Raw genomic sequence first — 26,748 nt, forward strand, 5'->3', positions numbered from 1 at the left:
CCACTGAACAAACCAGAAAATAAAAATCCCCAAATACACAGAATCACCTAACAAATTTAGTCTTCTCAGTCTTCTCTATCTCCAAATCAAATCTCAATCTAAGCCTCTATATCCAACTACCAATTTACAAGGAATCAAGAAAATCTAGAATGTGGGAAACTGCAGGACAAATGACCTGGTTTCTTCAACAAAGTACAAGGAAAAAAACTGAGGAGAAATATGCAAATTAAGGCATTTAAAATGGCAGCCAATTGCAGTTTGTGGGACCTAGATCCTGATTCAAATAAATTACAAAGGTCAACAGAAAAGTAGTACCTAAGAAAGAAAAACACCCCTCCGTGTGCAACTCATCTGTGCAGATTTCACTGAATTTCACTGGATTGGTGTGTTAAAGGATGTTCATTAAAGACAACTTCTCTAATAATCATGAAGTTCTTACCGTCAGACATTATTTTAAGAATTATACAAATATTATTTATTACAACAACCCTAGGAGAAGGTACTATTATTGTTCCTATTTAACAGATGAAGAAACAGGCAAACAGTCTCATTTAAATAATTCACTCAAAGTCACAAAGCTGTAAGCAGCAAAGCTGAGATTCGAACCCAAATGGTCTGGCTACAAAGCCAACCACTGATTACCATACTATGCCATTTCTCTGTGTGCTATGGTGGAAACTATGCTTTGGAATCACAGAAAGCGGCCCAAATCTCCATCTCTATGTTACCGAAATTACTTAACTTCTTGGAACCTCTGTATATCTCTTGTAGAAGGGTTAATATCTACTTCTTTAAATAGTAAGGAATAATAAGATTACATAATTGACTCTATTACAGCATCTGAGTTTATGAAGCCCACAATAAATGGTTCCTATTGCCCTTCCTGCCATACATGGTAAGACGAATTAAAAAGTAGAAAAATTTACTAACAGCACAAAAACTGGAAAAGCTCTACTTTCAAATTAACTAAACAGCCCCAAAACCAACTTTTCTATATACTTATAAACTTTAAAGATAGCAATAATTCAGACAATAACTTTTTTATATACCAAACTTTTAAACTTAAGCAGAAACAGAGTTTGCAAGCTCAATTTAAAGTATAGCTAAACTTAACCAAATGAGATTTTTCTGGGGGAAAAAACTTACTCCACACAAATAGACCTACTGCTCAGAAAAGGGTACTAAAACTTTGTTCATTCTGGTGATTCTCTAGGCTGACCTCTGGTTAACAAAAGGCAAAGTGGTTTTTATCTTAGAAAAGGAAGGTGAACTTAATGACTTTGTTAAAATCAACTCCTTTAAGAGTAATTGCTTTTTATGTTATCCTCCAACTATTAAGTATTATCTGTTAAACCGTAAAGTTCTTTGTTTTATGGTCATCTAGATACTCCCAATCCCTAGTTTCTTAACAAAAATAAATGATTGAGCTGTTTTAGCTGAAAAATGATTCAGCTAACAGATCAATTATTTGCCTTAGTAAAGAAAAATAATAGGCTCTTTTAAATGTTTGCCTAGCACGTTTGAAATCACCTATAAAAATTCAATTTACATAACATTAGAAATATATCTACCTCAGTTAAAGTATACCTGTGGACAAAAGTTCAGTTCCTCTTACTGAACTATTTTCCAAGTTTGATTATAGGCTGTTTGAGGCAGATTTCAGTGGGAAATAGGAAACACTAAGTCTGATTTAGAAGTAACTTGGGCAATTAGGTCTCTAACAGCACAACCACGTATTAAATTCCAGACAACAGCAACTACAGCCACTTAGGGGGTATGTTATTTTTCCCCTCATCTATCTGAACAACCATAAATACACCAAAATTTGCCTTTCCCATTAGTTTTTTTTTTTTTAGTTGGAATCCTTTAAAATTTTGTCTGCCTTTCATCTTTTAGACCAACAGTCTTACTTTCATGTTTAAAGGCAGTGACCATAACAGTCAAGTTAAACACAACAACTTAGATTGCCTAAATTTGAATATAGGCCTTTTTTTTTTTTTTTTTTTTTTTTTTTTGAGAGGGAGTCTCGCTCTGTCCCCAGGTTGGAGCGCAGATCTCGGCTCACTGGAAGCTCTGCCTTCCGGATTCATGCCATTCTCCAGCCTCAGCCTCCCGAGTAGCTGGCACTACAGGCGCCTACCACCACGCCCAGCTAATTTTTTGTATTTTTAGTAGAGACGGGGTTTCACAGTGTTAGCCAAGATGGTCTCCATCTCCTGACCTCGTGATCCGCCCGCCTCGGCCTCCCAAAGTGCTGGGATTACAGGCGTGAGCCACCGCGCCCGGCCTGAATATAGACTGTTACCTACCAGCTGGATGAATCTCTGGACTCCTTTTCCTCAACTACAAAATAGGGTATAAAACAGTATCTACTTAGACCTGGCGCTGTGGCTCACGCCTGTAATCCCAACACTTTGGGAGGCCAAAGTGAGCAGATTGCTTGAGTCCCTGAGTTCGAGACCATTGCTTGAGTCCCTGAGTTCGAGACCAGCTTGGCAATAGGATGAACCCTCCCCCTCCTCTCTAATAAAATACAAAAAAAAAAAAAAAAAAAAATTAGCTGGGTGCGGTGGCACGCACCTGTCGTCCCAGCTACTAGGGAGGTTGAGGTGGGAGGACTGCTTAAGCCTGAGAGGTGGAGGCTGCAGTGAGCTGAAATCATGCCACCGCACTCCAATCTGGGTGACAGAGTGAGACCCCGTATCAAAAACAAAACAAAACAAATAAACCAGTATACTTATAAAAGTAAACAACAAGCCGGGCGGGGGCGGTGGCTCATGACTATAATCCCAGCACTTTGGGAGGCCAAGGCAGGCGGATCACCTGAGGTCAGGAGTTCAAGACCAGCCTGGCCAACATGGTGAAACCCATCTCTACTAAAAATACAAAAAATTAGCCAGGCGTAGTGGTGAGCCCCTGTAATACCAGCTACTCGGGAGGCTGAGACAGGTGAATCGCTTGAACCCAGGAGGCGGAGGTTGCAGTGAACAGAAATCAAGCCACCGCACTCCAGCCTGGGCAACAAGAGCGAAACTCCGTCTCAAAAAAAAAAAAAAAAAAAGAAAAAGAAAAGAAAAGAAGGAAAAAAAAGTAAGTAACAAATACAAAGCACTTTAAACAGCAGTCAGTCCCTGGCACATCAGAGTTATAGCCATAAAATAAAGATATGCAATCTTCTGAAGTATGATTCACGATTGTGTCTTATCTTTAACTCAAAATTAAAAATGAATTACAAGCAGAAATGTGCACCAGATTTCTTATCATTCTAAATTTAAATGGTTGAATGTGTCCTCCTCAGCTAAGCATTTTAACAGCCACTGATGAGCAATCTAGTAAATTGAATTCGCTCAAAATAAAGGTTTCCCCAAGAGTTCCCCCCACACCACAAATCAAGAGCTCTGATAAAGACACCATCCAGAATCAACTGAATGTTTATATTAACATGTACAAACCACTGAGTACCCCCCCAAAAAATCAATATCTCACTCCAGTTTAGTAGTTAACAGTGACAAAACACAAAGCAACTAGCTTGTAATTTCTATTAAAAACTTTAAATATTTTTCCTGTAAAACCACCAAAATAATTTAACAACAACAACAAAAAATCCTAGGGGTATTAACAAAAACCAACTTTTGTATTTGAAAAAACGTCAAAAGGTACATTGAAAACTGACTCCCTAGGAAAGATGAGTTTATTTTACTATTAATTTCAAAGTTCTCATTCACAATTAGCATTTCACTCTTTTATCTTTTAAATAGATACAGGCTTCAGCACCTTTCCAAATATTGAAATTTATTGGTTTTGGTTTCCAATCTATGACTTTTTGTTTAAACTTCTGGATCTATCGATTAAAAAAAAAAAGCAAACAAAAGACAGTCTCTTGTTCAAAAGGGCACGACAATCAGGTACTCCATACCTAAAGTATGTTTTCACTTGTTAAAATGTCTTACACTATTCTAGTAAATATCTCAAACTTAATAGCACCCTAATTTCCTTTCAAATATTGGATAAAAAAGACCTTAGAAAAGATCAGCAGTCTACTAAATTACAAATATAAGTCTAATGAGGAGTGACTACCAATCACTTTACTTTTGGATAAGATTTACACAAGAACACGACTTACTACTAAACTAAAACATGAACCACTATTATTAACTGTATTTTTCTGGTAAGCAATAAATGTCAATGTTAAAAATATTTCAACAAATATGACAAGCCAACTTCAGAGCACGAAGTTGGCAGATAAAATTGACACCACAGCACAATTTCAAAACTATAAGCAACTATTAAACACACACACCACCGCACCGCACCCATTCTTATGTAAACTTTTGGAATAGTCAACTTTGTGAGCCTCACCTTTGTTTTCACCCAGCATAAGGAGAGTTAAAGGTGAGACACCAACTGCAAAAAACCAAAATATCAAAAGATTCAGTTAATGTCCCCACAGGGGAAAGGACTAAAATCTTTAAACGTTAATGTATTTAAGTAATCGAAGGGCAGGGCACTTCCCCAAGCTACAGCCATTTTGGATTCAGACTGTCTTTCGAATTTCACGGGTTGGGGAGAACTAGATTTAAAACAACAGAAAAAAAATAACACTTAAAACATTTCAGGATCGACCAGCTTTCCCTGCCCCTCCAAGGAAAGGAGGTTGGTAGATATCGGATAGACTCAATCTAAGCGAAAACACCTCGCTACCACAGAGAACCGGAAAGCTGGGGGTTAAAACTTTTTTCCCCTCAGATATCCAACATTTGACTTACACTTTTTCCTCCTTAGGTTTTCCTTTGAAGGAAAACAAAAGCCCTTAGCTCTCATTTCAAGAAGGAAAGAAAAAAACCCGTAAGCCAAGTCACTCAACGAGCACCAAGCCGGATCGCCTGGAGAGGAGCCAAAGAGCCGCAGGTGAGCGTTCCGACCCGACGACCGAAGTTAAAGTAGGAGCGCTTTCGCGGAGCCCCGGCGACGCTCGCGTGCAAAGCTCCATGCACGGGGGAGGCGGGGGTGCCGCATCCGAACCACTTGACCCGTGGGCTCCGCTCGCCCCTCTCGGGTCGGACCTATACCCAACCACCTGTGTGAGAGCTTCTTTCAACTAGTTTTAACAGCCCGTTGGTTAGGCACCGGGCGGAGCCCCGCGCCAGAACGACTCCAGGATCTCCTACTGCCCCGTTTCCCAAACTCCCACTCACCGGGCAGCGGCGGAGCTATGGCCAGGGACTAGACGCTGCGTCTGAGGACGCGTCCCCAGCTTGTCGACCCGGCAGAGGCGGCTAGTCCACAACCATAACAAAGCTCTTCCCAAAATGGCTGCCCGGCCCACAAGGTCCAGGAGGGGCAGAGCGGGTGGAGGAGGAGGAGCGACCAGCAGCACGGCCCTCCCATCCCCCGTCCGACCCCGCCTTACACACGCCCACCTGAAGAAGCGCATGCGCAAGGGACTGCTCCGGCGACCCTCCCGGACGCCAGTTCCCTACGCTGCCAACGTTCGGCCTCCAGAACGGCGGTTATGCCCTGCCCCGCCCCCGGCTCCCTTCTTCGCCGCTTGAGGCGGCGCATGGTCACCTCTGCCCCCTACAGAATTGAATCCTCTGCCTTTCCTCGTGCCGCCTGAGGCACGGACAAGCCTAGTTTAGTACGCCCCTTCTAACCCCCTTGCCCACTTCCAGGGCCTGGGCGCGTATGAATGAGTGGGTGGGTATGCATGTGTGTATCCCTTTTTTCTTCACCCTCCCACAGCCCGCCCCTTGGCCAGTGCGCGTCCCGAAACTACCTCTACAAGGACTTGCAAACCGGTTTCGGAGGAACGTGTGTTTTCCGGCCCTTTCCCACCTTCCGCTCCTTACTTCTCGTGTGCGCGTCGTTGAGACTCCAGTCCCCAGCGGGCCACACGGCCTGGCCCCGGAGGCTGCGCGGCTGCGTCGGCCGCGCTACCCGCTGGGAGTAGTAGTTCCCCTGGAGCGCAGGCGTCACTCCCCCGCCCAAGCGAAGGGCGGGATTCCGGCGAGAGCCTGCGCTTGCGACAGTGCCGTTTCTCCTACCTGAAGTCTCATTGGGTATCGCACTACTGGAAGGGGCGGCGCTGCCATGACAGAGAAGGCAATAAAACTGAAGGCCTAGCTCGACTAAAAGCGCTTACTATTAAGGAAGACTTCGCTGTGGCTCCATCCGGCACGGAAAGCTAAACCGTGTAATGGCTGGCAACCAGGAAGCTAGACTACCTAGAATCCGGAGGATTGGAGGGACTGGCCGGCGTGGGCCCCTGAGATCTCCTACTACATGTCTTCAGTTTTATCCATAGACACGGAAGGGCACTAAAATTGCCTGGTGCCATTTCCTGTGAAACAAGTCTAGATAAGAGAAGGGACTTGCCCAAGGTCACATAGCCGAGAAATAAAGCCGAGGGCAGTAGGAGAAATGATCTGACTTTCCGAACCACCCCCAAGCCTAGGGCCCTTATCACCACACCTTTCATGGAAGTGAAAATCCTGCTCTTGTGCTCTTTAACCCTTAATGAAGTTTATAGGTCCCAGCAAAGAAAATGGATGTAAGAACTGGGCTTTTTTCCCCCTCTAAATGATAGTAAAGGGCCCTAATGCAGTGAGATGTGTCCCCATAGGCCTTATAAACCCTGTTTTGCAAAGTAAAACATAAGTCCCACAGATGGCAAGCAATTCAGGTCACACTGGGCCTAAAATCCCGTCTCTTACCTTCCTTCACCACCATCATTCTGAGATTGTTTCAGTACTTGCACTCTACTTACCCGAACTCTGTGGGCAGATTCTGCTGCCTGGGAGCCCTGGAATAGAACTTCAAGGACCGTTCAACATCTGGATTCAACTAGAAATTAAGAATGGCCCCCAAACAGAAAGCCGGGCCTAGGAACCAATTAGCGCAGGTCAAGTCCCTACCCGGACTCATTTTTTTTCAGCCCTCAGGAAGTAGGGGCCTCTCTGAATCCACTTGCCGGAAGTGCCTTTCCAGTGGACCTGGGCTGTTGTTGCGGTTGTTTTCCTTCTCTCCGTGCAACGCTGGCAAGTCTCAAAGTCGCCACAGGTGCAGGTTGGGATGGGAGGCACCAAGGGTTGGTAGTAAATTTGCGACGTTGGGATGGGAGGGCACCAAGGGTTGGTAGTAAATTGGAGACGCGGGCACTCTCGGGCAGGGTTTCCCGAAGACACTGGCGTCTAAACCCCGCCTTCCTTTCTCAGAGGTCAGTTTGAAGCTGGCAGTTTGCAGTCTTCCCACCAGGGCAATGGGAATATTGAGCTTTTTCATTTATATTAGGAGGATTAAGCTTTGAGTCTCAGTCCTTAATCCCGCATCACCTGCCGTCCCTGGACTTTTTAGGTTATCACTTTTTAATACCCACTAGTTGGAAAGCACGTGCCACAGAGGAAAGGGAGTTTCCAAAGATGGGGGGATGGTTGAGATTTTAAATGGAGTGGTCTGGAAAGTCCTTAAGAAGAAAGTGATTTTGAACAAAAGTGATGGGTACGCTCTGCGGGCATTTTGGTCTGGGGCTCAGGTGGGTGGGTGTGGGTGTGATCTAAATTCTACTCGGAGGCCCAGGATTACTTACCTCCCTACTTGCTTCCTTAAGTATAGTATGAAGACATTAACTGGTATACAGGATTTCTTGACCCAGCCCTAAGATCTGTGATCAATAAATTAGTTCAATCGATTTTTTTTTTTTTTTTTTGAGACGGAGCTTCGCACTGTCTCGTGGGCTGGAGTGCAATGGCGCGATCTCGGCTCACTGCAACCTCCGCCTCCCAGGTTCAAGCAATTCTCCTGCCTCAGCCTCCCGAGTAGCTGGGATTACAGGCGCCTGCCACCACGCCCAGCTAATTTTTTGTATTTTTAGTAGAGACGGGGGGGAGGTTCACTACGTTGGCCAGGCTGGTCTCGAACTCCTGACCTCGTGATCCACCCACCTCGGCCTCCCAAACTGCTGGGCTTACAGGAGCGAGTCACTGCGCCCTGCCCAATCGATTTTTTAAAATTAAGCAGCAACTGTAGGTTTTTTTAGACATCCCATTCTCTTGGTTAAGAATGAAATTGTCAGATCTAGATCCATATTATCATTCACCTGTTTTTACTGGCTGCTTACATTAGAGTTTTTAATCAGTCCCTCCTGTGTAAAGTGCTTTGTGTCAGGGACGGTTCTCAGCTATTTACATGTAGTAACTTATTAAGTGTTATATCAGGCTAAGTGGCACACACCTGCAATCCCAGCACTTTGGGAGGCCGAGGCAGGTGGATTGCTTGAGCTCAGGAGTTCAAGACCAGCCTGAGCAATATGGCAAAACCCCTTCTATACAAAAAATACAAAAATTGGGGCCAGGCACGGTGCCTAATGCCTGTAATCCCAGCACTTTGGGAGGCCAAAGCAGGCGGATCACGAGGTCAGGAGATCGAGACCATCCTAACATGGTGAAACTCCGTCTCTACTAAAAATACAAAAAATGAGCTGGGCGTGGTGGCATATGCCTGTAGTCCCAGCTACTCAGGAGGCTGAGGCAGGAGAATGGCATGAACCTGGGAGGCGAAGCTTGCAGTGAGCTGAGATGGCACCACTGCACTCCACCCTGGGCGACAGAGCAAGACTCCGTCTCAAAAAAAAATTGGCTGGGCATGGTGGCGTGGCCTGTAGTCCCAGCTCCTTAGAGGGCTGAGGTGGTAAGATCCCTCGATCCCGGGAGGTCAAGGCTGCAGACAGCGGAGAGCACGCCACTGCAGTCCAGATTGGGTGACAGAGCGAGACCCTGTATCCAAAAAAAAAAATGTTACATCAACCCTATGAATTAGTATCCATATTTCAAAGGTGAATGAACTGCACCATAACAAGATTAAATAATTTGTTCAAAGACACACAGCTAATAAGTAGTGGAGCCAGGATTCCAACCAAGTTTGACACCAAAGTCTGCACTCCAACAGGCTATTCTCTCTCAGTACTAAGTTAATGAGGTTATTTTGAGCATTAAATGAGTTAATGCTCACCGGGCGCGGTGGCTCATGCCTGTAATCCCAACACTTTGGGAGGCCTAGGCAGTTGGATCACCTGAGGTCAGGAGTTCAGGACCAGCCTGGCCAACATGGCGAAACCCCATCTCTCCTGAAAATACAAAAATTGGCCAGACATGGTGGCAGGAGCTTGTAATCCCAGCTACTTGGGAGGCTGAGGCACAAGAATTGCTTGAACCCGGTAGGCAGATGATGCAGTGAGCCAAGATCGCGCCACTGCACTCCAGCCTGGGCGACACAGCAAGACTCTTGTCTCAAAACAAACAAACAAATTAAAAAAACCTAAATTATATTGGTTGGTACTATCGTTATTTTGAGTTGTGAACTCTTAAGCCCCAAAATAGGAGGAAAAAAGGAAACAGAAGCTATGACCTTCCAGTTTTGTTTTGGTTTTTTTTTTAATTTCACAAAAACACCACTTAGAAGACCCTTCATTTTAAAGATGAGAAAACCAGTACTCAAGCAATTTGCCCAGTGTCACACAGCTAGGAAATGGTGGAAGTATCTGTAAAATCTCTATGTGCATTACTCTTTCTATTACACTAGACAGCCAAAGCTAAAAGAACAGTTCAGATACTAAAAGGATCTATTTTGTTACTGTGTTACCGACAGTTTGAAAACATTAATGATTCTTTTCAAAGGAAAGTGTTATATTCATGAATTACTACTATTTAAAAATTAATGTATAAAATGAGGAAAATTAAGTGACACCTTGTGTTATACACAGAAACATGCCCCTGATTCAGTGCCTCTGCTTAGCTGTAACATGTTAATCAGAACTACCTGGCATCTTCCTGAACAAGACTTTCAATAGGGGCCAGTATGCTTCGCTTCATCCAGAAGTTTTCTCAAGCATCTTCAAAGGTTGGTTTGTTCAGCAGATATTTGAGCACTATTTGCCAAATATTGCTTGGGCTAGGTCAGTAGCAGTGAAAAAGACAAAAATCCTTACCCTTGTATATTCAGGTGATGGAGGGAAGAGTTAAGTAAAATACAAGTAAGTAAAATGTTTATTATATCAGGCTGGGTGCAGTGGCTCACGCCTGTAGTCCCAGCAATTTGGCAGGCCGAGGTGGGTGGGATCACTTGAGCTCAAGGAGTTCAAGACCAGTCTGGGCACATGGCAAAACCCCATCTCTACAAAAAATTAGCTGGGCATGGGGTCACACGCCTATAGCCCCAGCTACCTGGGAGGCTGAGAGAGGAGGATCGCTTGAGCCCAGGAGGTTGAGGCTGCAGTGAGCTGAGATCATGCCACTGCACTGCAGCCTGGGTGACACAGCAAGACGATGTTTAAAAAAAAAAAAAATTGGCTAGGTGCCGTGGCTTACGGCTGAAATCCCAGCACTTTGGGAGTTGAGGCAGGTGGATCACTTGAGGTCAGGAGTTCAGTACCTGCCTGGCCAACATGGTAAAACCCTTGTCTCCACGGAAAAATACAAAAATTAGCTCAGCATGGTGGTAGGCGCCCGTAGTCCCAGCTACCTGGGGGGCTGAGGCAGAAGAATCACTTGAACCCAGGAAGCAAAGGTTGCAGTGAGCCGAGATTGTGCCACTGCACTCTGGCTTGGGTGACAGAGGAATAATTCATCTCAAAAAGTAAAAATTAAAAAAAATAAGGCCAGGCACGGTCACTCACTCCTGTAATCCCAAAACTTTGGGATGCCAAGGCGGGCAGATCACGTGAGGTCAGGAGTTCGAGACCAGCCTGGACAACATGGTGAAACCCTGTCTCTACTAAAAATACAAAAATTAGCTGGGCATGGTGGCGGACGCCTGTAATCCCAGCTACTCAGGAGGCTGAGGCAGAGAATCGCTTGAACCTGGGAGGCAGAGGTTGCAGTGAGCAGAGATTGTACCACTGCACTCCAGCCTGGGTGATAGAGCAAAACTCGGTCTCAAAAAAATAAAAATAAAAATTAATACATCAACTGGTAAATGCTGTGGAGAACTATAAAGCAGGGAAGGGCAATAGGTAGTGTCAAGACGTAGGATTGGACTTACAAATGGCAGGGGATCGGAAGTAGGTAACTGAGGGAAGAGCAGTAAATATGGAAACAGGGAAATGGTTCCAAGATGGAACCATTCCTAGCATGTTTGAGTAATCACTGAGATTCTTCAATAACTTCAATTTTTTCTTTAATGCAACACTTTTTAGTTGAAGTCTGGTCACTAAAACACAGAATCAGCAGGAAAGGTTATTACTTTGCCCGTGTACAATGAAAGGCAGTGGGGATTTTAAGGCAAGGAAAAAAATACGGTCCTGGCTCTCAAGTCTACTGAGACAAAGACAAGTAAACACACAATTTTAATTCACTGTGAGAAGAATTATGATGGAAGTGTGCACAGGGTGCTTACTATAGGAGCATTAAATCAGACCGTAGAAGGGTAAAGGAAAGCTTTAAGTTGAATTTTGAATGTTGAGGTAAGTTTCCTAGATAGGAAAGTAGTAAGAGCTAGAATTCTAGGCAGAGCATACACAAAGGTGTGGAACTGTGAAAAGTATGTGGTGTTCATAAAACTAAGTTGGAAGGTAGATTTATTTTCTCCATATAAAAACAGCATTCCCACGGTAATTAGTGCTGCTGCTTTTGCTATTTATAAATAAAAGAGGCAGTTTAGAAGGCCAAATTCTGAAGATCTAGTCTTTACCTGCTCCTCTTTCAGATATTTTTCTCATGGAATAAGATTAAGTGGTAGGTTGAAATATATCACTAGTTTGTGTTCAGTGGTTTCTTTTGTACATTGTATAGCCATTTAATACTCTTACCAGCAATAATATCACTTCAGAGTTATTAGTTCATCCTTTCTGTATAGTTTGATGTGGTAATGGAAAGCAGATCTTTTTTGTTTGCTCCTTTCAAACAATCCCCATTATTTCATACTGGGATTGACTAAAATCTGATGATACATATATATATTTTTAATTTTGTCTTTTGGTTCTATTTTCTTTGTAGATACTGAAGTACTCTTTCCCAGTGGGACTAAGAACCAGCAGAACAGATATACTTTCTCTCAAGATGTCTCTCCAGCAAAACTTTTCCCCATGTCCAAGGCCTTGGCTTTCCTCATCATTTCCAGCGTATATGAGCAAGACACAGTGCTATCATACATCCCCCTGCAGCTTTAAAAAGCAGCAGAAGCAAGCACTTCTAGCCAGACCCTCAAGCACCATCACTTACCTAACTGACAGCCCAAAGCCAGCATTATGTGTAACTCTGGCAGGACTAATCCCCTTCGTTGCTCCACCACTGGTCATGCTGATGACAAAAACTTATATTCCCATATTAGCTTTTACTCAGATGGCTTATGGAGCCAGTTTCCTATCTTTCTTGGGTGGGATCAGATGGGGTTTTGCTCTACCAGAAGGTAGTCCAGCCAAACCAGACTACCTTAATTTAGCTAGCAGTGCAGCTCCTCTTTTCTTTTCATGGTTTGCCTTCCTTATTTCTGAAAGACTTAGTGAAGCCATAGTCACAGTAATAATGGGTATGGGAGTAGCATTCCACCTTGAACTTTTTCTCTTACCACATTATCCCAACTGGTTTAAAGCCCTGAGGATAGTAGTCACTTTATTGGCCACTTTTTCATTTATAATCACTTTAGTAGTTAAAAGTAGTTTTCCAGAAAAAGGACATAAGAGACCTGGTCAAGTATAAAAAATATAAAAGTCTGGGAAGTGAGGAGCACCTCTGCCCAGCTGCTGCCCCGTCTGGGAAGTGAGGAGCGCCTCTGCCTGGCCGCCTGACCATCTGGGAAGTGTGACAAGCGCCTCTGCCCGGCCGCTGTGCAACCTTCCACGTGTGAAGTGACAGCCTTGTGTGTGATCTTTTCTGTCTTCCCCAAGTTTGCATTTTCGACATTAAAGTTTACTTTTTAGTTAAAAGTTTTAAAAATATATATATATAAATACACTGTAGATAACATTTGTATGCCAGCTACACCTTTTTCTACTTCTGTTTGGCTTTTTTTCCCCACACCAATGGTAATTTATCTTCACAGATTGTTCTTCATTTCTAGAAATTGTTACTTCATGGTAATTACTTGAGCAAAAGCTTGAAAATCCCTGACAAGTACTTTTCATCTCATAGTATATTAGTTTTCACTCAGTCATTTTATGAATAATATAGTTATCCACTTAAACATTTCAATATTTTAACCATCTTGAAAATTAAAGATTAAAAATCCCCTTTGTTAGAGTCTTGTGATCATTGAAAAGAATGCACATATTCTCCCACTTCAAGCGGAAAACCTCGTATCTGTGAGTATCTGAAAAGAAAAGGTAGTTCCATTGAGTTTTCACAGGAGTTACCACTGGGAAAGGCATGTCCAAACTTATTTCACATGGTATAACCCAATTATATGAGCTAAAAGGATCTATGGCTCTAAAGTCAGTAGGGAGCAGTGTCATGAGGGAAAGCCACATTCAAAGGTAAGTTGGACATGTTTTCCAGTTTTTATTAGGATATTTGGCATGGTACAGATAACAACTTGTCCCTTACCACCAAACACATAATAGCTGGTCAAAATGATTATTTTCAAAGGAAACTATTTAAAATAAAGCCACTAGTACATATAAATTAGGAAAGAAAAGTCAAGCTGGAGCCATCTTGATATTCTAATGAGCAGGCCTATCTAGTTCTACATCTTTTTTTTTGAGATGGAGTTTCATTCTGTCGCCTAGGCTGGAGTGCAGTGGCACGATCTTGGCTCACCGCAACCTCCACCTCCCGAGTTCAAGCGATTCTCCTGCCTCAGCATCTCTAGAGTAGCTGGGATTATAGGCACGTGCCACCATGCCCAACTAATTTTTTGGTGTGTATTTTTAGTAGAGGTGGCATTTCACCATGTTGGACAGGCTGGTCTAGTTCTACATCTTTTAAATCACAGAGAAGCTTTTAGCTTTGGTGTGTTTTTGTTTTTGTTTTGTTTTGTTTAAACGCAGGGTCTCACTCTTGCTCAGGCCAGAGTGTAGTGGTGTGGTCATGGCTCACTGCAGCCTCGACCTCCTGGGCTCAAGCAATTCTCCCACCTCAGCCTCCTGAGTAGCTGGGACTACAGTTGTGCACCACTATGCCAAGCTAATTTTTTAATTTTTTGTAGAGACAGGGTCTCCCTATGTTGCCCAGGCTGGTCTTGAACTGAGCTCAAGCAATCCTCCTGCCTAGGCTCCCAAAGTGTTAGGATTGCAGGCGTGAGCCACTGCACCCAGTGCAGAAGCTTTCTTAAAACAGCAAAAGCAACACCTTAGATTTTCACTTGAAAACGTAGTCTCTAATCACTCTACTTAAGGTGGAGAAAAAAAGAATTAACAGAAAACCTAGTTTTCTGAAATTCCTAGTCTCACCAAAAAGGAAAAACATTAAAAATGGTCTAAGGATTAAAAATGGTCTAAGGATATAGATCAGGATATAGTATAACCTGGAATTTTTTTTTTTTTTAGATGGAGTTTCACTCTTGTTGCCCAGGCTGGAGTGCAATGGCGCTATCTCGGCTCACCGCAACCTCCGCCTCCCGTGTTGAAGCGATTCTCCTGCCTCAGCCTCCCGAGTACCTGGGATTACAGGCATGCGCCACCATGCCCAGCTAATTTTGTATTTTTAGTAGAGACAGGGTTTCTCCATGTTGGTCAGGCTGGTCTCAAACTCCCAACTTCAGGTGACCCACCCACCTTGGCCTCCCAAAATTCTGGGATTACAGACATGAGCCACCGTGCCCGGCCTGTATATTTTTTAGAGATGATGTTTCCACTCAGTCTCAATCTGATTCTACTCAGATTGTTTTGATAAGGAAACTCACTTCTTTGTTATTAAATTGCATGAATGCTATACAAATTTAAGACTTTTCCATAATCTGAATTAAATGAATTATTTTCCAGAATAGAGGCAAATCATATTTTTAGGCTAATTGCCTAATTTTACTTAAAAATGCTATTTTTCCAGGTGAATTACAGTGTATGCTTCTTTAAGAAAACTGATTTTTAAGTACATTTGATTAAGTACATTGGCAGGATACTTAGAAGCATATCGGATTGTTAAACATTTTGGAGGTAGATCACTTTAATCATTTCTCAAAAAACAGAATTAAATGTAAAATGAAATGTGCAAGTCCTTAAAGTTAAAACAAAACCAACTAAAAAACTTGTGCAATCCTACTACAGTTTGGTAACCCAGAATGCCACTGATAAAGTAATACAAAGAAACAAAAAAACTAGATACTTTATTAGTACATTCTTTTAAAAACAATCTTGTTAGCCTGGTGAGGTGGCTCATGCCTGTAATCCCAGCACTTTGGGAGGCCAAGGCAGGCAGATCACCTGAGGTCGGGAGTTCGAGTCAAGCGTGACCAAGATGGAGAAACCCCACCTCTACAAAAAATACAAAATTAGCTGGGCCTCGTGGTTCATGCCTGCAATCCCAGCTACTCAGGAGACTGAGGCGGGAGAATCGCTTGAACCCGGGCGGCAAAGGTTGCGGTGAGCCAAGATCATGCTATTGCACTCCAGTCTGGGCAACAAGAGCGAAACTCCATCTCAAAACAAAAACAAAAACAAAACCAATCTTGTCATTACCTAGGAATAATAAGCATATTTACAGTCACCTATTTTCAGGGATCTTCGGGACCTGTTAAAACACTGACTGCCTTGACATTACATTTCTGCCACAGCTGTGCAAAGCACACCCCTTCAAAGTGTCATTTTCAGTTGCTACTAGACAATGAGAAATTAGTTGTAGAAGTATTTTGTAAATCTGTTTTGAATCAGAATACAGATTCTCTGTAACTAGAAATAGTAAAGGCACATGAGTTATAGCTTAGTCTATAAATTATCTTTATTCTTTGACATCTTACAGATCTCTACACAGACATCTGTGACCCTTCAGACGTTCAGGATGCCCCAGAGAAGGGAACATAGAGCTTCCTGTCTGCATTACATAAACTTTTCCTAATAAATGCATATGGTTAAGTTATAAGGAAGGTATAGTTGTAGACTAAACCAAATATTTTTTGTTTTATTTTTTTTTGAGACAAAGTCTTGCTCTATGGCCCAGGCTAGAACACAGTGGTATGATCTCAGCTCACTACAACCTCCACCTCCTGGATTCAAGTGATTCTCCTGCCTCAGCCTCCTCAGCAGCTGGGATTACAGGCATGTACCACCACCTGCTGCCAATTTTTTGTATTTTTAGTAGAGACGGGGTTTCACCATGTTGGCAAGACTGGTCTTGAACTCCTGACCTCAAGTGATCTGCCCACCTCAGTCTCCCAAAGTGCTAGGATTACAGGCATAAGCCACGGTGCCCGGCCTAAACCAAATAATTTGGATATGAGTGCTACCTAATTCATTAATGCAATTAAAAGTTTTCTATCTAAATAAGTTGATGATGCTTATAGTAATATACTGAAGGACCTTAGCAAAGAAATGGGAAATCGGCAGAGTGCGGTGGCTCACACCTATAGTCCCAGCACTTTGGGAGGCCAAGGTGGGCAGATCACAAGGTCAGGAGTTCAACACCAGCCTGGCCAACATGGTGAAACTCCGTCTCTACTAAAGATACAAAAAATTAGCCAGGCATGGTGGCTCACGTCTGTAATCCCAGTTACTCGGGAGGCTGAGGCGGGAGAATCGTTTGAACCAGGGAGGCAGAGGTTGCAGTGAGCTGAGATCACACCATTGCACTCCAGCCTGAGTGACAGGGCAAGACTCCATCTAAAAAAAAAAAAAAGAAACGGGAAATCAAATCCTTAAGTCAACTAGTTAAATTTTACTGTATGCAGCCGGGCACGCTGGCCCATGCCTGTAATCCCAGCACTTCAGGAGGCCAAGGCAGGTGGATCACCTGAGGTCAGGAGTTCGAGACCAGCCTGGCCAACATGGTGAAACCCCATACAGAAAAATTAGCTAGGCATGGTGGTGGGCGCCTGTAATCCCAGCTACTTGGGAGGCTGAGGCAGGAGAATCGCTTGAATCCGGGAGGCGGAGGTTGCAGTGAGCCGAGATCACGCCTTTGCACTCCAGCCTGGGCAACAAGAGCAAAATTCCATCTCAAAAAAAAATTTTTTTTACTGTATGCAAGACCTTTAATATATATTGCTCCAACTGGCCAGTAGAAATAACTTAAAAGTAACCGCATCATACACCCAGTAAATCTTTCTCTTAGAAATGAACAGAGAACAATTCTTTAGAATGCTTCTCAGGGAGAAAATGAGAAGTTTTGAGAAGCAGTTTTGTTTGGGTCAAGGGGTACTTTCAAATTACACTTATGAGTCAGTATCTATAAAAAGTTTCAGAAGTACCTACAATTTAGCCCTCTACATCCAAGCAGTAGCTTTGCAGTATGCTCTTACTTAGGTTTGCCCAAGTACAAATAAATTTTACAAAGCTTGATAATCTAATAAAATTCCCTCTTCCTAAAGCCAAACAGATAATTTTGGTGACAACAATCTAGCAAAAAAGGAAGAATTTTTTTTTCTTTTTTTTTTTTTTTTTTTGAGACAGGTTCTCATGCTGTCACCCAGGCCGGTGTGCAGTGGCACAATCTTGGCTCACTGCAGCCTTGACCTCCTGGGCTCAAGTGATCCTGCAACCTCAGCCTCCCAAGCAGATGGGACCACAGGTACAAGCCACAACGCCCGGCTAATTTTTATATATTTTTTGGTAGAGACGGAGTCTCATCACGTTGCCCAGGCTAGTCTCGAACTCCTGAGTTCAAGCCATCTTCCCGTCTCACCTCGGCCTCTCAAAGTGCTGGGATTACAGGTGTGAGCCACCATGCCCAGCCTAAAAAAGGGAGAAATTTCTAGGTGCATACTGCCTGCTGGACTGTATAGCCCATTACAACATCTGGTCACTAAGAACCTCCTATTAATTCCTTACTTGCATTCTCAGGATCAAGACAAAAAATATGAGCAAGCAAAAACTTATCATCAAGCAAAAAGGTATCTATCTATTAAAATAGCTAGATATTTCCCAAACACCCCTCCTAGGATATCTGCTGCCAATAAAAAGTTTGGGGCTAGTGAAAACTCTTGGCATTAAATAAAAGTAGGAATCTATTTCATTGGCTTTCTCTGTGGCTCAAACTATGGCCATGGAAAATTATGCTCTGGATATAATTGTGAATATAGAGGTCTTTAAACTGTGTCATTGACACTATTCCTATATCACATAAAGTTTTATGTTACAATTTATACTGCACTGGAGAAGTAGCTAAAGGGACTATTTGCCAGGAAGCTTCTAGTAAATAATTTCTACAAATTTGTAAAATAGGAGTTGTCTACACTTAAACTGGAGAATTCTACAGCATAAATGGCATTTCTATTATTAGTAAACCTGGCAAATCTGTGTGAGCTCTTTATTAATTGGGATATATTCCATATCCATTCTCACTCATATTTTTAGAAAAATCATTCTTGAGTTTATTTTTTTTCTTTAAGAGACAGGATCTCATTCTGTTGCCCAGAGTGGAGTGCAGTGGCATGATCGTAGCTTACTACAACCTCAAATTCCTGGGCTCAAGTGATCCTTCTGCCTCAGCCTTCCAAAGTGCTGGGATTATAGGCATGAGGCCACTGCGCCCAGCCTCGTTAGTCATTTATCTACCAAATACATGGAAAACTCACAGAATCAGAGGGTCTTATCACCAAATCTATGTTTGCTTTGCAAAAGGTCAGGTCCTGCATTTTCAAAATGTTCCTTGTGCTCTGTTATGCTTTATATTTCATAGCACAGCAACGCCCCCTTCACAACGACTGGTGATCATGTTACCAATTTCTGTCCATGTATCTGAATGAGGGTTATAAACTTCAACTGAGTCCAAGGTACCTGGAGCCAAAAAATCATGGCTGGAAGATCGACCTCCAGAAACATACAGAAGACCATTGACTGCCACAACACACATGCCTGCTCTAGGCACTTTCATTGAGGCAACTTCAACCCACTTTTCCTGGTTAAGAGAGAAAAAAAAAATATGTTAGCAGTGTTATGAAATGATAGTAAAGAAATCCACTGAGAAATTCGATATCCCAGTTCTTTTTACATGTTTAAATGTAAAACTATCTAGTCAGGTAAGCATACAGATTTTTTTTTCTTTTTTTTGCTTTGTTTTTTCCTTGGAGACAGGGTCTCGCTCTGTCACCCAGGCTGGAATGCACAGCAACGATCTCGGCTCAGCGCAGCCTCAACCTCCCAGACTCAAGAGCTCCTCTTGCCTCAGCCTCCTGAGTAGGTAGGACTACAGGTGTACACCACCACACCTAGCTAATTTTTCTATTGTAGAGATGGAATTTCACCATGTTGTCCAGGATGGTCTTAAACTCCTAAACTCAAGTGATTGTCCCACCTCAGCCTCCCACAGTGCTAGGATTACAGGTGTAAGCCACAGCACCCGGCCCAGAATATTTTAAAATAAACTTGAAGTGGGCATGAACAAAGTAAATTTAGAGGAATATAATTTTTTAAAAGGTCTGATTATAAAACATGATCAGGAAATGACCTAGAACTCATACACAGGACAACATTCTAAGAAACAAAGTCTATGGAATACAAGTAGGTAATACACTCAAAAATAAGCAAATAAAAACAAAAGAACCACAAAGCTCCAAGGAGAAAGAAGCTTATAAACCAAAGGATTTTTTAAAAGCCTTTAGTATTTTAATGAGTCTTAAAAATGTCCAAGAGAATGACACAGCATGGAACACCTGACAAATTTATTTGACCATGGAATCCTTTTTACAAGGAGCATCCAGTGGAGTTAGTAATCTGCAGAACATATTTTCAAAAAGGTGGGCTAACCAGGGGTTGGGAACTATAGTCTACTTTGGTATAGCCTGAGAACAAACAATGATTTTCCCATATTAAAAGGTATTTTTTAAAAAAAGACAAAGCATATATCAAAAAAGGATATTGTGTATGGCCCACAGGCCAAAAATATTTACTATCTGGGCTTTTACACAAAAAGTTTGCTAACTCCTGTTATACATCATTCCCTGAAGAAATTTCAATGTGCTGCTATAGCCAAAATGACTAGTAGTGTCTTACTTTTTTTTTTGTTTTTTTTTGAGACGGAGTCTCGCTCTTGTTGCCCAGGCTGGAGTGCAATGGTGTGATCTTGGCTCACTGCAACCTCTGTCTCCCAGGTTCAAGCGATTCTCCTGCCTCAGCCTCCTGAGTAGCTGGGATTACAGGAACCCGCCACCACGCCTGGCTAATTTTTAGTATTTTTGGTAGAGACAGTTTCACCGTGTTGGCCAGGCTGGTCTCAAACTCCTGACCTCAAGTGATCCACCCGCCTTGGCCTCCCAAAGTGCTGGGATTACAGGCGTGAGCCACCGCACCCAGCGACTAGTAGTGTCTTACTTGAGGGAAAACGTCCATACTCAGAAAACAAGAAAGCTACTAAAGGTCCTAAGAAGTAATTAGGAGAGCAAAGAGCAAGTGGCCAGGTAATGGGAGAACAGATTATCAATCTTTAAATAAAGCATATGATGAACAAAGTTTTTTTAATCATAAATAGTGAAGACTGATTATTCATCAATGCTAGAAAGTAAATTTTTGAGGACAGGGACTTGAGCTTCTCATCCCAGTACCCACATAGGTACTAGGATAGTGCCATCATATTATAAACAGTTAGTGTATGTTTGCTGATGTGAACTTAAATAAGATTATGAAATACTAAACCAGGGACAATTCTTTGAAAGTGAAGGACTAGATTAAATTTGAAAGCTATTTGATCATCTGAAATTACACAGCACATCACAAAACTGACACAACTGAAAAATACTTACATTTTAAAATATAAATACATTCTCAAGAAGATCCATTTCTGGTTAAGATAAATTAGGATAATTTAGGTTATGTTTGTAATTAGGGAGAACCTTTGCTCTCCCACAAAATGCCCCTTGACAATAACAAAGGGACCTTAGGGCTCATCCTATATTGTTCTTCTTTCATTTCTACCAGTGTATTAGAACTACAGTTTAATTTTTAAATTTTTATTACTTTATTTTTGATTTAATTGACATGTTCTCATCTAATATAATTTGCTTTTTATCCCATGTTACCTCAAAAAAAAAAAAACTCTGTAAGAACACTAACAAGTTTTACATTATCTTTTCTGGATTTGTAACACAAATTGTTAGTAGGTAGTCAATAACAATAAAATTTCATATGCATAAAAAACAAGGTAACACATTGTCGTTGTTGTTGTTGTTATTATTATTATCATTTGAGACGGAGTCTCACTCTGTCGCCCAGGCTGGAGTGCAGTGACATGATCTTGGCTCACTGCAACCTCTGCCTCCTGGGTTGGAGCAATTCTCCTGCTTCAGCCTCCCAAGTAGCTAGGATTACAGGTGTGCACCACCACTCCCAGCTAATTTTTGTATTTTTAGTAGAGACAGGGTTTTACCATGTTGGCCAGGCTGGTCTTGAACTCCTGATCTCAGGTGATCCACCCACCTCAGCCTCCCAAAGTGCTGTGATTACAGGCATGAGCCACTGCACCCGACCATTAACAATTATTGATAAGACTTAATTTGAAACTAAAATCTATTCATTTCAAAGCCATATAGAAAAATTAGCAACAGAAAGTGCCCTCAAAAAGTTCACTTTCTATATTAGATAAACTCAAATAGGATCATGGAGAAAGGAATTTGAAATGTCACCAAAGTTTAAAACTTGTCAGAAATGAGAATCAAAATCCTTATGCTTTACAACAAGACATGAAAGTCCATTCTTGCCACTTCAACATTGTACTGGAGGTTCTAGCTAGGGTAATGAGGGGAAAACAATGAAAAAAAATGCATCTAGTTTTAATCCAGATTTAAGAAGTAAAACAATCTTTTTTGTTCGTTTGTTTTAAAGACAAGGTCTCACTCTGTGGCCCAGGCTGGAGTGCCGTGGTGCAATCATGACTTACTGCATCCTTGACCTTCCTGGGCTCAGGTGATCCTCCCACCTCAGCCTCCTGAGGAGCTGGGACTACAGGCGTGCACTACCACACCTGGCTAATTTTCACATTTTTTATAGGACAGGGTTTTCACCATGTTGCCCAGGCTAGTCTTGAACTCCTGGGCTCAAGTGATCTACCCACCTTGGCCTCCCAAAGTGCTGGGATTACAGGTGTGAGCCACTGCACCTGGCCAAAAGTTCTGAAGGTTTTACTAACCATAAGTGACATTAAAAACCATAAAATTCAAATAAGACTAAACCTTATTTCTCAAAATTTGTTCCCTGAAACACTTCCACAAGATATTCTGCAAATATCCACAGAACAAAGCAAGGGTGGTTATGTTCAAGTGAATTTGAGAGACTTGACATAAAGATTCATAAAGTACATTATTGTACTAAATTCTGTAAAGAAGTCCTGTGGTAAAGAAACTAATTTAACCTGGTTTAACCCAGATTTCCTTGAATATAGTTGACCAGGGAAACTCAAGTTACTCAATTCCTATTAACAGTGCAAAAAATTAGTATTCCATGGAAATTAATTCGGAAAAAGCTGGCCTAACCTGTAAGTCTAGGGCATAACACACTTTGTACTTCACTTTCCCAGCACTTAACACATTGTAACATAACTGACTATTTATTTCTCGTATTCCTCAATGCAATGTAGCCTCCTTGAGAGCAGTGGCTGTATATGTTGAGTTTGTTCTTGTTTCTGCCTGGCATGGTGTCTGATCCATACTTACATACTAAGAAGTCTGTATTTGTGAATGAATAAATGAGCTAATGAACAAATACATGACAGAACAGTGACTCAGTGAAGATGCAACCTCCTGTCTCCTACCTTTCTCTTCTCTTCTCTTACTATAAGCATAATTGTGTCAACCCAGGAACTGAGGGAATGAGGGAACCCTGGGGAATTCACCTAGGCAGTGACTGGATGGGTCACTGGAGATGTTAGATGGAGAAGACAGCTGGTATGGTAAGAAAATTGGCTTCATTTAGCAAATAAGTAAATTGAATGAAATATTGAGGATAATGGAAGCAAAGTCTTTTTTTTTTTTTTGAGACAGAGCCTCGCTCTGTCACGCAGGCTGGAGTGCAGTGGCGTGATCTTGGCTCACTGCAGCCTCGGCTTCCTGGGTTCAAGCGATTCTCCTGCCTCAGCCTCCAGAGTAGCTGGGATTATAGGCGCCTGCCACCACGCCCAGCTAACTTTTGTAATTTTAGTAGAGATGGGGTTTCACCATGTTGGCCAAGCTGGTCTTGAACTCCTGACCTAGCAATCCACCCGCCTCGGCCTCCCCAAGTGCTGGGATTACCGGCGTGAGACACCGCGCCCGGCGGAAGCAAAGTCTTTAACTGACAGAAAAGGTATTTACAACATGGAAAGGGAGAAGGCCTGAAAAAACCTGGTGTACTAGAATTGGAGCTATCATTATGAATTCATGGTTTTACAATATAACTGCACAAATAGATATAGAAATATTTACAGATGAATATGTGTGTGAAAACCTGTTTACATACATACATTTCCTAGCTCTGTTTACTGAGGGTGGCTATGAGGTAGAAGGTGGTGAATCAACTCCAGACAAGATTGAAGACTAGCTGAAACAGGGAAGAGGCGAAAGCAACTCTCTGTAAGACACACCCACCAGTGCCCTGTCAGTTTACCATTGCCAGTGGCAACACCCAGAAGTTACTGTCCTTTCCATGGCAACAACCCAGAAGTACCACCCTTTTTCTAGAAAATTCTGAATAACCCACCACTTAATTTGCACATAATTAAAAGTAGGTATAAATGACTGCAGAACTGCCTCTGAGCTGCTACTCTCAACACACTGTCTATGGAGTAGCCCCGCTCTGCAGAAGTAGTTACAGAGCTGTAACACTGCCACCTCAATAAGGTTGTTTTCTTCTACCACCAGCTTGCTCTTAAATTCCATCCTGAGCAAGGCCAAGAACATTCCTGGGCTAAGCCCAATTTGGGGCTCTCCTGCCCTGCTACAGCTAGAAGCAGCAACATCCAAGTAGCATTTAGTACTCTAAGTGTGTACATCTTGGTTTCTAAATACTGTCCTTCACCAAAAGGAAATAAGGCTTCTTGAAGAAATGGCTGATTCCAGGGCTAAAGCAGAAAAAGTATAAGATAAACTGAAAATATTTCTGCCGGAAAATAAAGAAATGCTGAATGAATGACAGTAATGTATCAAAAGGACACAGGAGGGATTTCCATTTCCAGACATAATAGATCAATTGTTACCAAACTTGCCCTCTGACCCTAAAGACCTAGAAAACTAGATAAAACATGAAACAAAACTTTTAGGCATTAGGCCAGGTGCGGTGATGGCTCACGCCTGTAATCCCAGCACTTTGGGAGGCTGAGGTGGGCAGATCACTTGAGGTCAGGAGTTTGAGACCAGCTGGCCAACATGGCAAAACCCTGTCTCTACTAAAAATACAAAAATTAGCTGGGCGTGGTGGTGCGCACCTGTAATCTCAGCTACCTGGGAGGCTGAGGCACAAGAATCACTCGAACCCAGGAAGTGGAGGCTGCAGTGAGCCAAGACTGCCCCACTGCACTCCAGCCTGGGAGACAGAGTGAGACATCGTCTCAACAAACAAACAAACAAACAAACAAAAAACCTCTCAGATATTAGATAACAGGCAATGTAAAACTGTAATCCCTGAGAAAATGAAACAAAGTAAACACAGCCACCTAGACTTTATGCCTGGAGGGGCTTTTTGAAAACAGGTACGCAGAAGGGGATCTCAAGCAGTGCATGATAGTCAGCTGATACAGGAGACAGAGATCAGAGTTTGGTACAGTATACAGGTCCCCTTCAGTCTTTGACTGAATACTACTAATCTATGCATGCTAAGGTGAGATTCCGTGGGTACAGGCAAAGGACAACTAATGGGAGGAGTTGTAAGCTGAGTAATTCCTAGAGCTCACACAAGGCTATGAGATATTTGAGTTCTGACCAACCAAAGTGAAGATAATTTGTTGAACACCTGGGGCAATCAGCAGAGACCCAAAAAGAGTCATGCTTTAGTAATAGGGATAAACTAGATCTAAAGGAAGGGCTACTCTAGACCTTCCCTACAAAGCCTTAAAACAAGTCTCAAGCTGGGTACCATGGCATGTATCTGTAGTCCCAGCTTACTTGGAAGGCTAAATTGGGAGGATTACTTAAGTCCGGGAGTTTGCGTCTAGCCTGGACAATACAGCAAGATCTCATCTCTGAAAAAAATTTTTTAATAATTTTTTTTTTCCAAGATGGAGTTTCACTCTTGTTGCCCAGGCTGGAGTGCAATTGCGTGATCCCAGCTCACTGCAACCTCTGCCTTCCAGGTTGAAACGATTCTCCTCCCTCAGCCCCCCAAGTAGCTGGGATTACAGGCATGCACCAACCTGCCCAGCTAATTTTGTATTTTATTAGTAGAGACAGGGTTTCACCATGTTGGCCAGGCTGATCTCGAACTCCTTACCTCAGTGATCCACCCATCTTGGCCTCCCAAAGTGCTGGGATTATAGGTGTGAGCCACTGCACCCAGCCTAAATAATTTTTTTAAGTCTCAAAAATATCAGTCTGATTTGCAAATAATTGAATTATTTAACAAAACAAAATTCAACACTTAAAAGAAGAAAACAAAATCCAAATACTCAGCAGCATAATATTTACAATGTCTACCATCTAATCAAAAGTTAATAGAAATGTGGAGAAGCCAGAAAAAATGTTACTCAAACCAGGAATTTAAAAAGTCAACAAGGCACCATAGTGCATGTCTGTAGTACTAGTTACTCAGGAGGCTGAAGCAGAAAGACCACTTGAGCTTAGGAGTTTGATGCCACCCTGAGCAACACAGCAAAACCTTGTCTCTAAAATTTTACAAGTCAACAGATACATATCCAAACATGACAGAGATGATGAAATTAGAAAAGACTTTAGGCTGGGCACAGTGGCTTACGCCTGTAATCCCAGCACTTTCGGAGGCCGAGGCGGGTGGATCATGAGGTCAGGAGATCGAGACCATCCTGGCTAACACGGTGAAACCCCATCTCTACTAAAAATACAAAAAATTAGCCAGGCGTGGTGGTGGGCGCCTGTAGTCCCAGCTACTTGGGAGGTTGAGGCAGGAGAATGGCGTGAACCTGGGAGGCGGAGCTTGCAATGAGCCAAGATCGCGCCACTGCACTCCAGCCTGGGTGACAGAGCAAGACTCCATATCAAAAAAAAAAAAAAAAAAAAGACATGACTTTAAAACTAATATTATTAATTGTTTGGGGAGCTAAAGGAAAATATGAACATGATGAGGAGAGAAACAGAAGACATAAGAAAACAGATCTTCTAGAGCTAAAAAATACAATATCTAAAATGAAAAATTCCATAGATGGGATTGGACACTGCGAACTAGAAGTTTGGATACTCTAAAGGATTAATAAACTTGAAGACAGAGCAAAACAAACTAGACAAACTGAAGCATAGAGAGAAAAGAGTGGGAAAAACTTAGCAGAGCCTCAATGGCTGTGGGACAATATTGGGTGGTCTTACATATATATATATAATTGGAATCCCAGAAAGACAAGAGAATATTTGAAAAAATATGGCAGAAAACATTCCAACTTGATTAAAGCTATAATCCCACAGATTCAAGAAGTTCAATGAATTCCAAAAAGGTTAAACAAAAATAACAAGGCACATCATAATCAAATTACTGAAGACCCATGATGAGGAGAAAATCTTAAAAGCTGCGGAAGAAAAAACACGTTA

The 26,748-nt window shown here is 42.3% G+C and overlaps 3 protein-coding genes across 21 annotated transcripts in view, besides 7 other annotated features; 1 reads left to right on the plus strand and 2 right to left on the minus strand.

Annotated features, from left to right (window-relative positions):
* Positions 1-6,894, minus strand: part of GPBP1L1 (GC-rich promoter binding protein 1 like 1) — a 60,807-nt gene extending 53,913 nt beyond the window's left edge. For 3 of the 15 annotated variants that reach the window (XM_017002019.3, NM_021639.5, XM_047427078.1), the window contains exons 1-2: positions 5,196-5,317; positions 4,360-4,404 (exon numbers count right to left, since the gene is read on the minus strand). The gene's annotated coding sequence lies outside the window, so the exon portion shown is untranslated. Of the gene's footprint in view, positions 1-4,359; positions 4,405-5,195; positions 5,318-5,776; positions 5,887-6,766 lie in introns of those variants that run through there. The other 12 variants (XM_047427075.1, XM_024448806.2, XM_047427077.1 and 9 more) reach the window with 9 other exon arrangements.
* Positions 4,933-5,531: an enhancer, noted in NCBI's record as "NANOG-H3K27ac-H3K4me1 hESC enhancer chr1:46151821-46152419 (GRCh37/hg19 assembly coordinates)". NCBI's record gives its function as "activates a minimal SCP1, AML or CMV promoter by ChIP-STARR-seq in naive H9 embryonic stem cells {active_cell/tissue: H9 hESC(naive)}" and the evidence as "EXISTENCE:reporter gene assay evidence [ECO:0000049][PMID:30033119]".
* Positions 4,933-5,607: a biological region, named in NCBI's record as "NANOG-H3K27ac-H3K4me1 hESC enhancer GRCh37_chr1:46151821-46152419".
* Positions 5,158-5,307: an enhancer, noted in NCBI's record as "active region_983". NCBI's record gives its function as "activates an Ori minimal core promoter by ATAC-STARR-seq in GM12878 lymphoblastoid cells {active_cell/tissue: GM12878}" and the evidence as "EXISTENCE:reporter gene assay evidence [ECO:0000049][PMID:35858748]".
* Positions 5,368-5,417: an enhancer, noted in NCBI's record as "active region_984". NCBI's record gives its function as "activates an Ori minimal core promoter by ATAC-STARR-seq in GM12878 lymphoblastoid cells {active_cell/tissue: GM12878}" and the evidence as "EXISTENCE:reporter gene assay evidence [ECO:0000049][PMID:35858748]".
* Positions 5,488-5,607: an enhancer, noted in NCBI's record as "active region_985". NCBI's record gives its function as "activates an Ori minimal core promoter by ATAC-STARR-seq in GM12878 lymphoblastoid cells {active_cell/tissue: GM12878}" and the evidence as "EXISTENCE:reporter gene assay evidence [ECO:0000049][PMID:35858748]".
* Positions 5,628-5,957: an enhancer, noted in NCBI's record as "active region_986". NCBI's record gives its function as "activates an Ori minimal core promoter by ATAC-STARR-seq in GM12878 lymphoblastoid cells {active_cell/tissue: GM12878}" and the evidence as "EXISTENCE:reporter gene assay evidence [ECO:0000049][PMID:35858748]".
* Positions 6,907-6,976: an enhancer, noted in NCBI's record as "active region_987". NCBI's record gives its function as "activates an Ori minimal core promoter by ATAC-STARR-seq in GM12878 lymphoblastoid cells {active_cell/tissue: GM12878}" and the evidence as "EXISTENCE:reporter gene assay evidence [ECO:0000049][PMID:35858748]".
* Positions 6,965-13,220, plus strand: TMEM69 (transmembrane protein 69). The gene is made up of 3 exons (NM_016486.4): positions 6,965-7,059; positions 9,758-9,894; positions 11,988-13,220. Exons 2-3 carry the CDS (start codon positions 9,853-9,855, stop codon positions 12,687-12,689), a joined length of 744 nt encoding a protein of 247 aa, NP_057570.2. The 5' UTR covers positions 6,965-7,059; positions 9,758-9,852; the 3' UTR covers positions 12,690-13,220.
* IPP (intracisternal A particle-promoted polypeptide) overlaps positions 13,108-26,748 on the minus strand; it is a 56,330-nt gene continuing 42,689 nt past the window's right edge. For 3 of the 5 annotated variants that reach the window (XM_006710623.5, NM_005897.3, XM_024446763.2), the window contains one exon: positions 17,495-18,974. In XM_006710623.5, coding sequence (XP_006710686.1) covers positions 18,961-18,974 — 14 coding nt within the window. In that variant the 3' untranslated portion in view covers positions 17,495-18,960. Of the gene's footprint in view, positions 13,300-17,494; positions 18,975-26,748 lie in introns of those variants that run through there. The other 2 variants (NM_001145349.2, XM_047419673.1) reach the window with 1 other exon arrangement.

This window comes from Homo sapiens, chromosome 1 (genome assembly GCF_000001405.40).
Source record: "Homo sapiens chromosome 1, GRCh38.p14 Primary Assembly".
Lineage (NCBI taxonomy): Eukaryota > Metazoa > Chordata > Mammalia > Primates > Hominidae > Homo > Homo sapiens.